The following is an 11663-nucleotide window of genomic DNA, read 5'->3' as shown; positions in this document are numbered from 1 at the left end:
GAGAAAAGGGAGAACACAGTATTAGAGAGAGGGAGGAGGAGGGAGAGGGAGATAAAAGATTTAGTAAGACAAGAGGAGAAAGCAAAAGACCAGCCAGGCTGGGAGCGGGAAGCCTCCTCTGGCTCTGAGTGGAACATTTTTATGAGTTGGATCCTTTTGACTCAGTCTGCCATTCATTTATACTATGGGATTTGAGTTTTCTGTTCCCTTATCTCTGAAATGTTAATTAACTGATTATTCAGTATCTGTTCTATAATTGCTCTTTATTCTTAATCCTTCTGAGCCTCAGCCTTAAAGGAGGTGGCCTCAAGGGAGTATGAGTGGGGGAATGTTCACTTGGTCCAATGGAAGGGGCCGACAGCCTCAGGGGCCACCAGGTGGCGCTGTCCTCACCTCCATTTTAGAGGGGAGGGAATCTAATCTTTGTTGGGTGCCAACTACTCACTAGGGACAGCTATATTTGCTTTAATATCTTTTAGTCCTCACAGGAACCCTGTGAGCCGACAAGTAAAGTTCAAGGGATCATCTAGCCAGTGAATGGCCAGGAAGGTCTTGTATCCGTGTCAGTCTGACAAATGCCCAAACTTGCCCCCAACCCTGCACTCTAAGATGGACATGAACACTTGGAATGCTTGTAAAATACTGAAAAGGATGAAGAAGGAGAAGATGGTGGTCCCTATTATTCAACCACCCAGAATTAATCACTATTATTACAATCATTTTTGGCTATGTTTAAGGTTTTTTTTTTTTCTTTTTTTTAAACTGTCAATGTGTTTAAAACAATTTTCTTCTCTATTTCATATGATTTACATTTACATATATCCTAAACACGGCAACTAGAACCGTAAATTATTTTTAGTAAAAGGGGAAAAACTATGAACCCAACCTAATTATGAAACTAAAGGTGCAAATAGTCTGAATTTGACTTCTTTTTTTTTTGAGACAGGGTCTCACTGTGTCGCCCAGGCTGGAGTACAGTGATGTGATCACAGTTCCCTGCAGCCGCAACCTCTCAGGCTCAAGCAATCCTCCCACCTCAGCCTCCTGAGTAGCTGGGACTACAGGCATGTGCCATCCCACCTGGCTAATTTTTAAAATTTTTTGTAGAGACAGGTGTCTCACTGTATTGCCCAGGCTAGTGTTGAACTTTTGGGCTCAAGCAATCCTCCCACTTTGGCCTCTCAAAGTGCTGCAATTATAGGTGTGATCCACTATGCCCAGCCTGAATTTGATTTCTGAAATTGTGTGTGTGTATGTGTGTGTCTGGGGTATAACAGAGTTGACCCAAAACAAAACACAACTTCAGATTGTTTGTTGTTTCATACATTTATATTTTGAGTAAAAGATTCTGCAATCATACGGCCGGAGCTGGAAGAAGAAGCTGAAGCTCTGTCAGAAATTTTGGGTGACAGCACTTCTCATTGAGAGGAGGCTCATGACAGTCTTGCAGAGAATGAATGACTTAGAAAATGAGAATCGTACAGAAGCCATCCACATCACTTGACACAGGAATATAATTTACCTAAGAGAATTAAGGAACCAATAAAATACAAAAAAAGTTACATGGCAAAGAGACATATTTTTACTTGCTCTCTAATAGTGATTAATTGGCAACAACCTTTGTATCAAATACTAGAAGATGGTTAAGTAAAGTAATGCAACTATTCATTATGATGCAATATTACGCAGCTGTTAAACGTGACTGCCACATGTAATGTTTCAACAGACCAAAGATGAACTGAATGCTAATCATAGTAAGTTTGATTTCGTTAGTGCTTACTATTTGCTATATAGCCTGTAAATGCTATCTTATTTCATCTTCCTGCAAACCTCAGTGTCAGGTTTTAGTATTTTTCTCATTTTAACGTTAAAGAAACTTGGGCTCAGAGGTGCTTCTCTGACGACTCATACCTAATGCATGTAGGGCTTAAAACCTGGGTGATGGGTTGATAGGTGCAGCAAACCACCATGGCACATGTATACCTATGTAACAAACCTGCACGTTCAGCACATGTATCCCAGAACTCAAAGTAAAAAAAAAAAAAAAAAAAAAAAAAAGCTGATATGTGGAAGAAAGAGAGTTGATACCTGGCATTGTGTGACCCTGAAGAAGCCCATGATTTCCCAGCTGACTTGTCGTGTTGCTTAAGATTGCTAATGTAGTGCAGTGCTACTGATCCCTATGCTTGGATTCTATATGCTTGTTGCATGCCTAGGTATGGCCTTTGAAATCAAGGCGTTCTTTCCCCCACTTGCCAGGAATATTGGCTGCTTATGACTCGCAGCTGAGCTCTTCTCTGGACTTGGCCTTTGTCTGAAAGGAACCTTCTCACGGGTGGTGATGGCCTTCCCTGGAGGCGATCTGACTTCACTAACTGGTTGGCAAAGGTGGGAGCCTGCCTTCATCTGGGGAACTCTGAGGGGTTACTGCATTTCAGTCCAATGTCTTCCTCTGGCTAGCTCTGCTTCCCTTACTCCCCACAATGAATGCTGTCTGTGCCCAAAAACCTCCAACATGGAGATCTGACTCAGAGTCTGCTTTTCTGGGGAACTGGGCCGAAGAAATATATTCCAATAAGAACTCTAAAATTAGCCACCCAAATGGAGGACAAGGGCTAGGAGTGAATGCACGAAAAGGAAAGCTAATTGTGCTAAGATGATGTGATTACAGGTGACTTACTGCCTTTTCAAACGTATTCCTTTAAATATTTTATACTGTTACAATTTAAAGGAGAAAGAGCAAGAGGGAGGGAAAAATGGCATAAAAGGCATTGCATGAATGTGTAGCAGGGAGGGCCACCTGAGAACGTCTGCACTGTCTCTTTTTCTTGCTTACTTTCTCTCACACCCTCCTGTTCCTGGAGTCCCATGCCCCATTCCATCTTCCCTACTTTGAATAGAAAAATTGTTTGGAAACCCCTGGAGCCCTTGTATTAGAAGTCATATATGGTTAGTAACTCCAGCTTTCTTGGTAGGGACATTTCTTGATGAGTTGCCCTAGACAAGGGGATATAAGTTGGATGTAGAAACCCTGTGAAAAATGGGACTCTGTGGAAATGAATAACCATGTCATCTTTATAAGATTTATCTCACAACTTGTCCCACAGGCACCTCTCCTTCTGAAAGGAATGCTCTGGGCCATAGCCATAAAATAAGGCTTTTTATCTCGCTGCCTCCCATCCACTTCTAGAGACACATAAACATTCACGATAGTATCCACAGGGGTTTCACATGCTGGCTCTGTGCAGTGTGCCCTGGGGAGATAGAGATCCAAGGTTGCAATTTAGATGTTTTTAATGGAATATTATCTCCTCTAGTAGAGAAGCAACATATTGGTGAATCTGCTGTTTCTTCTTTCCTGATTAAATCAAAATCTCAGCAGAAAAAAATCAATCTCCTCCCCCCATTCCATTTATACCACCACTGCTTCAACTTCGATCTTATTACCTCTCACCTGGACAAGTGCAATAGCCTCCTAATAGTTCTCCCTGCTCTGGTCTCTCTCCTACCCCGCATTCAATTCTCCACACTGCTGCCAAGGGATCTCCTGAAAATGCTAATATGATATTGACCATCTCCTGCTTAAATTCATTAATGGCTCTCCATTTATTCAATATATAAATGTCCAATCAAGGCATTGAAAAACCTTCATGATCCCTGCCTACATTTTCAGCACCCTCACTAGTCACTTTTCTTATGCTCCATACATTTCAACCACATTCATCTTCATTTCCTGAGCAACGCATGCTCTCATATGCTTCCTGGCCTTTGCAGATGCAATTCATTCAGTCCGAGATGTCCTTCTGGAATGACTCATCTTTAACATCACTGCCTCTGAGAAACTTTATTTTTCCATTTAACTTTAAGTAACCTTGAACAATCTTCATGTATCAGTCAGGTTCTTAATAGCCGATGACAGAATCCACTTTAGTTAGCTTAAGCAGGAAAGAATCAATTGAGGAAATTAGAAAGCTTACCGAGTTGTTGGAAGGGCTTGGGAAATAAGTTTCAGATTCATTTTCCAGCAGCAGCAGTTCCCAGCACCATACCAGAGTCGGGTTCTCCTGGTGAGGAAGCAGTTTCTTCCTTTGGTCCCAAAATCATGCTGGCCTGCTCTGCTGCCACCATCACCCATGGAATGGGTGTCCCACCCTCTTCCTTTTCCCCTCACATAACTTACTTACAAATCCAGGTCTTGTGTAGATGTGTCTGATTGGTAAAAACAAAGCGACATGCCTCCATTCTAATAGCAAGGGAGATTGGAAACTTTTTTTTTTTGATTCTACATCGAGAAGGCAGAATTCAAAATGTGGAGATCTATCAACATGTCCTAAAGATGTTTAAAAGACATGAACAGCAGGAATGTCAGCCTTCCACTGTCTCTCTCTTTTTTAAAGACAACTATTGCATTTTGCTATTGTTCTCTTTATACATGTGCGCTTCCCCTGCTAAACCAAGGACTTGAGTTAAAGTGATGTCTCATTCATTTTTGTGTCCACAGCCCTCTGGCACAGTGCCTGACATATCAGTAAATCTTTGTTGATTGTTAAAATAATAGAGCTATGAGAATTCCTTGCCTAAAACTTTTTGCATGGTCAATTATATAAGATGTTATATCTAGTCTTGAAAACTGTACGCCAGTCTGTATGCTCTGAAATGTATTAACCAAATCTTAAATAACTCAAGCTGCAGGAAACAGTACTGTAAATATGATTTCAAATTTGGCCTCTAGAAGCAAGACTGCAGATTCAGCGCTCATATTCAGTACCATCTTACACATCATGTGCCATAATAAACAGAGCGGCCCTGCAGCAAATGAAGGAGTAAGGCAAGGTTATCTTCAGTGCTCTTTGCCTCCCTTCTCAGCCCTACTCTCTCTTCTCACCTATGTCATGCTTTCTTGTCTGTAAAGGACTGTCACACCTTTATTTATTTAATGCTTATAGCTATCCCATGTGTTTTTATTATCTCCATGTAATATCCTGATGTTGGCAAACTATAGCCTTGGGGCCCAAACCAGCTGCAGTCTGTGTTTGCAAATAAAGTTTTATTTGCAGTGTAGCCATGCCCACTCATTTATGTATTGCCTATGGCTTCCTTGGGTTATAATGGCAGAGTTGTGTATTTGCTATGACCTGCAGAGCCTAAAATATTTATTATCTGTCCATTTATTAGGTCCTGGCCTAAGCCTCTGGAACACAGGTATCAGGTGAAATTGTCCATGCAAGTCAGCACTTGAAACTAGGTCTTCTGATTATGGGTTCCATTCCTTAGATGATCATATTGGGAGTCATCTAAAAACGTGTAGAACTATTTGAAAGTAGTTTTCTCTAACTATAGTGTTCTTTTTTATCTCAGTTGATTCATACTGCTGACCAAGTGAATCAGACATGGAGTTTATAGCACTCTATATAATGAAAGGATGGAGGAGGGAAGGTACTGGGGTGGGAAATGTCAGTGAAATTCTTATGATAAATACCAGCACAAAAATATGGAGGTAAATGAAGAAACAGCTACAAATGGGGAAGGTGAGGAAGGAGGGGTCAGGGGAAGAGTCATCTTTCAGATTTAACCCTTTTGTATGATATTTTCAAAAACACTCACGTTACTTCAATAAAAATATCAAATTATTTTGGAAAAAAAACCAAAAAGTAAAGTGGGAGAGAAAGTACAAAGGAAGGCTGTCACTAGCATAGATTACGCTATAGTATAACTTGCTGTTTCTGGAGATATTTAAGGGTATACATCCTGAGAAATGGCTGCAAAGGCATACAACATACCCCATAATGTCATATCTACTTTAGAGAACTGTAAGTCACAAAGCAAAACAATAGCCACACATCCCAAGTATGACTTCTATCATTTGACCAACAGTGATACAAAGGAATGAAAGTGAAGTACCCCCACTACCACAAATTATGCAGTCAGGTTTCCTGCAGACGTCAACACATCCAGCGTGCAATGGATGAGCCTCACCCTGGGAAAGCCACCTTCATGATCATGGTATTTCCCCCAGTAGGTAAGTATGAGTTTATTGTGGCCTGGCATCTCACCCTTGATTCCAAACACTTTACACATAGGGTCATTCACTTTGCACAAGCTCTAGCCTGTCACTTGTGACATAAAGACTTCAAATTTTAAGAGCCAGATAATAACATTTTGGATACTAGAATATTTGCAAAATCCTAAGAAATGTATGTACAATATGAACAAGACCAACCAGAAGGCATTGTGTTCATCTACATACTCCAAGCCCCTCTTGGTGATGTCAAAATCTTTTGAGGAATCTGAGACATTTGTTGATGTGGCTAGGCAGAATACTGGCCATCAAAATGTTCAAGTCCTAATCCCTGGAACCTGTATATGTGTTACTTTACATTATGGCAATAGGGATTTTGCAGATGTGATCAAGGACTTGAGATGAGGACAGTATTCTGGATTATCCAGGTGGGCCTACTGTAATCACAGTGTCCTTGTAATAAGGACTCAGGAGGGCTAGAGAAATAGATGTAAGGACAGAAAAGAAGGCAGAGGAAAGGTGCTAAATTGCTGGCAAGAAATGTAGGCAGCCTTTCGAAGCTGGAAAATCTATATAACAATCACTCCAACCTCAGCAGCTTAAAACTGCAGCCACTTTATTATATATCTTGAATTTTGAAATTAGGAATTTGGGCAGAGCTCTTCTGGGCAATTTTTCTAGTCCATGTGGTATGCATAGAGGCCATTCAGTGGTCACTGTTTGGTGGACTGATTGATCTGTATGGTCAAAGATGGATTAATGCGTATATAGCTGGCCTCTGAGTGGGGCTGGCTAGGAGGCTGGGCTCAGCTGGGTCTTTTGGCCAGAGCATCTGCATGTGGTCTCTTCAGTATAACAGCCTCAGGTAGCCAAGACTTATTTACTTGTTTATTTATTTTTGAGATAGAGTCTCTCTCTGTCTCCCAGGCTGGAGTGCAGTGGCATGATCTTGACTCACTGCAACCTCTGCCTCTTGGGTTGGGGTGATTCTCCTGCCTCAGTCTCTCGCTACCCATGCCTGGCTAATTTTTTGTATTTTTAGTAGAGATGGGGTTTCACCATGTTGGCCAGGCTGGTCTCAAACTCTTGACTTCAAGTCATCCACCTTATAGCTGCTCAAGACTCTTAGAGAGAGTGATTTAAGACAATAGAAAGTGGAAACTGCCAATTTCTCAAAGCCTTGAATTACTTTTGCCATATTTTAATGGTCAATATAGTCATAAACACACTGAGATTAAAGGGGAGGGGACATAGACCCTACCTCTCAATGGGAGGCATGCCAAAGACATTGTGGCCATCTTTAATTTGCCACGGAATTGGATTAGAAACAGTGTAAAATGTACCTACATGTGTGTATGAACAGTGTGTTATGGAAGCTCAGAGAAGGCAGGGACCAACTCAGAGTCATAGTTCAAAAGCGAGCTAACAGTTTGTCAGACATTTCAGAGGGTAAAGCATTAAGTCATGGTGTCGCAAAGGAGGTGGTCATATTTAGGAAATAAGAAATTAGGTGTGTTAGAGTGGAAGGGGCATGGAGAAGGGAAGGGAAATGATGATGAGTGTGGCGTTGATATAGTGGTGGTACGATGAAGACAATGATAATGTAAACAGAATTACCCATATATTGTGCATTTTATTTCATTTATTCAGATAAGTTCTGGCTCTGTTGCCCAGGCAGGAGTACAGTGCTGGGATCATAGCTCACTGCAGCCTTGAACTCCTGGGCTCAAGTGATCCTCCCGAGTAGCTAGGACTATAGGCGTGTGCCACCACATCTGGCTAATTTCTTTAATTTTTGTAGAGACAAGATCTCGCTATGTTGCTCAGGCAGGCCTGAATCTCCTGGCTTCAAGCGATCCTCCCTCCTCTGCCTCCCAAAGTGCTCGGATTACAGGTGTGAGCCACTATGCCTGGCCTTCAAAGGTCTCTTAAATGCAGCAGAATAATCAGGTGACAACAGCAGTGGGTTGGAGAAAGGGCAGAACGGATTGGGACTGGGGGCCCAGGAGAAGAGGATTCTGACTGAAATGGAAGAGTCATGGTCTGAGAGGAGGCAAAGCAGCAGAGAGAGACCAATATGCCTCTCTACCTTTATCTACCGCAACCCTCCTACAGCCCTGTGAAAAAACCATAGCATAAGCCCTGAAGTAAGGAGTACAGCTCTGCCAGTGGCACATTCTTTCCGGGGATAGAGCTATACTGGCCAGGAATAGCCAAGAGAAGACAATTTGGGTACCATTTAGGGAAAAGACTAAGGGTGAAGAGGCCCAGCATGGTGGCTCATGCCTGTAATCCCAGCTTTTTGGGAGGCTGAGGCAGGAGGATTGCTTGAGGCTAGGAGTTCAAGACCAACTTGGAAAATATAGCAAGACCCTGTCTCTACCAAAACGAAACACACACACACAAAAGATTAGCTGGGCTTGATGGCATATGCCTGTTGTTCCAGCTGCTCGGGGTGCTGAGGTGGGAGGATCGCTTGAACCCATGAGTTTAAGGCTGTAGTGAGCTATGATTGTACCACTGCCCTCCAGCTTGGGCAACAGAGCCAGACCCTGTCTCCAAAAAACAAAAACAATAAAAAATTAAGAATAAAAGTTGGCGAAGAGGATGGGTTGCAATGACATGGAGACTCCACTGGGCTCTGGAGAAAGGATCAGGGTTTGCACAAGTAGGCGATGTTCTAAGCTGCAGGGAAATGAGGGTGGAGTGGGAAGAAGTGACAGAAGACCCTGGGTCATTATGGTCTCTATTATGTTGAGGATGGTGGACATGGGATAAAAGGGAGGAGGGGCTACTTAATTACTTGGTCCCTAGTCCCTCTCCCGGGAGGTGAAGCCTGAGGTTAGGATAGGGGAGAATGCGAGAGTTGCCCTCTGGGAGCTCAATAAAGGCTCCAGAGAGATTATGAGGCAGACAGATATTTCTAGGAATCAGATGGGAGAGTGGGTATAAATGAATTGCTCGCCTTTTTCTCAAAGTCATCCAACTTATCACAAGGACAATGCTGTGAAAAGGACATCTTGGAAAATCCAAAACAAAATTTTTTGGAAGATAAAGTAAATCCGATTCGTTGAGATGTTTCTGTGTGTTTGGAGATAAATCACATTATTGTATTTTATCAGCAGATTGGTGGGCAGTTTAACAGCTTAAAACTGGCAGCAAAATGGAAAGGGTTCCTCGTATCTATGAATAATCCACTATTTTATGCGGGTTTCTGGACAGCTTAAATAAGGACTGTGCAGAGAAGCACAGAGTGATTATGTAAATTGGGATGGCTTGTTGGGGAGTGTTTGCAGAGCATGGGAGGGAGAGGTGGTGAGGGCAGAAGGGAGGGGGAGCAGCAGTAGGCATGGTGGGCACTTTTCCCCTCAGGTAGGCGCTGTCTTGGATGTGAGTGCTGGCGTGCTGGGGGACACACAACCATGAGGTCAATGTGGTGCCTCTTACTGAAGCATCCATTTAGTGTAACACAGTATTTAGGAATGCAAGCTCTAAGGTTGCACTGCTTGGTTCCCATCCTGTATCTACCACTTACAACACTGGAGGACTCTTGGTACTCTCCTGTGTTAAATGGGGTTAATAATTTCACTTACCTCACATGACTGTTGTGAGGATAAAGGAAGACAAATGTATGAAAAGTTCTTAGAACAGTTTCTGATACATTGCACACATGTATTTCCCTATTATGGTTGTCTGCACTTTTTGTGTTTTATATTCTGTTCAGACATGGAGGTACAGGGGCCATGATAGTCAGCCCCGCCTTTGCTTCCTCTAATAAGACAGAATTAAGGCATGAATTTTTCCCTCACTAAGTCACAATCATGCAGATACCAGCATGCCAGTGAAGAAGAAACACTGACTTCCTAAACAGAGAACCTGGGTCACTGAAATTGCACTGGGGCTGTTCTGGTCTTCACTTTTCATTGAGATGTGAAGGCTTGGTTCTAGTACTACAATGTCACTCGTGTAGGAAGCCCAGTTGGGAGTCATATAAGTGAGTTACAGCTTCAGTTCTGCCACAGCAGAGCTGGGTACCCTTGGCCTAATTAGGAGCACAGTGGACAGAAAGAGTGGGATCGGGCAGCCTTCACTGGTAACTACCATAATGCCCTCCAAGTCCTCTAATGTTGCTTTTCCAAACTTTTCCACAATTCTGTTTATGCCTTTGTATTCTCCACTAGACAATATAAATAATGATACTAATAACTTTTAATCAGCACTTATTCTATTTTAGTTATGTTTTTAGTCCTAGTATCTTTTAGATCCCACAGGATCTGGCACATGGTGGGCACCTAATACATGTTCAATAAATGATTAGATACAAGAATAGATGACCTCTGTTTGAATCATGCAGTTGCTTAGTTTGGGGACTTTGAGCAAATTTTTTGGTCTCTCATTTTAGTTTGCCCATTATGCTAGGCACACGTTAGGCACCCAGTGGATTTTGTTTAACTGAAATATCCTGCTTCACCATTGCTTGAGGGAACAAAATAGGTTGTGATATATGATTATTCCCAGATCTTCATCCCTGGCTCCACATTTAGGTATCTACCTCTGTTCAGTCTTTCTGCTTAAATGTGCAGTAGCACCTCAAGACTTATGTTCAGACATGACCTCCGGATGGCTACCTCTTGCAAATCTTCTTTCTGTCTCCTCCATCTCAGCAGGTGGCATTACCATCTACCCAGTTGCTCAAAACAAAAATGTGGAGTCGTAATTCTGTTTCCCTCTCAGCTAACAGCCAATCCATCAGCAAATCCCCTAAGCTCTCTGAGTCTGATTTCTCCTCACCCTCTCCACTACCTCAACCCTTGTCCAGGCTACCCTCATTTCTTACCTAAACTATTGTGGTTATTTCCTAAATAGTCTCTGTGTTTTTACTCTTTTATACTCATCCCTTTTCTACTCTTAAGAATCCTAACTACCTCCAGCTCCTTCCAGGAAAATGACAGGTGGAATGGAATGATGACCTACTCAGCTGGAAGACTGGGGAAAAGAAAAGGCAGGATGTGGTGTGCGTGTTTGTGTGTGCGCGTGCACATGTGTTTGAGGAGCAGAGTCCTGGGGAGGGGGAATTTTAAGAGAATCAACGTCCTATGACAGGGAGCAAGAGAGGGAATCCACAAATGGGAGCAGGCAGCCCTTAAAAAAGGGGCAACCACATAGATAAGACAAAGAAGGCGCCCTGGAGATGAACTTAGCAGGGAGGCATCCATCGTTATATGCTCTGAATGGGCTGGATAGGCTGCTCTGGCAGGAACTACCCTGTCCATTCACCAGGCTCTGAATGTTTAATTGAATAACTAATACTAAGTGTTTTCTGGATATAGGCACTACCATCTCATCCTTTTGATGGATGTTTAGGACATGAAATTAAGATGTCCAATAAAACATTGAATCTCAATAGAGAATGGAGGATAGGTCTAGGTCTGCAGCCTTCTCCCAGGAGCCTCCATGCTTCCTAGACATATTTATCAGCTCTCTTCCCATCAAACCCTGAATTCAGGATGTGGAGGTTGGTTGGCATGTGTTGAACGAAAACTTTGCACTTTATGGGCAATTCTTGCCTCCATCATATGAGGCTTGAACACACAGCTGCCCAAGGAGAGGACTCTGTTGAATATTTATAAAGCCTAAAATAGTA

At 42.5% G+C, this 11663-nt stretch overlaps 1 long non-coding RNA gene and 1 pseudogene across 1 annotated transcript in view; one reads left to right on the top strand and one right to left on the bottom strand.

The window, feature by feature from the left end:
* The window catches only part of LOC105378399 (uncharacterized), a 31892-nt gene continuing 26106 nt past the window's right edge, over positions 5878-11663 (top strand). Inside the window, exon 1 of the long non-coding RNA XR_946148.2 lies at positions 5878-6019. This is a non-coding gene — a long non-coding RNA (uncharacterized LOC105378399). The remainder of the gene's footprint in view (positions 6020-11663) is intronic.
* RNU1-65P (RNA, U1 small nuclear 65, pseudogene) lies at positions 5880-6027 on the bottom strand (annotated as a pseudogene).

Source organism: Homo sapiens, chromosome 10, assembly GCF_000001405.40.
Source record: "Homo sapiens chromosome 10, GRCh38.p14 Primary Assembly".
In the NCBI taxonomy this organism is placed as follows: domain Eukaryota; kingdom Metazoa; phylum Chordata; class Mammalia; order Primates; family Hominidae; genus Homo; species Homo sapiens.
The sequence above is the reverse complement of the archived record's forward strand: the minus strand, read 5'-3'. Positions and strand labels throughout refer to the sequence as shown.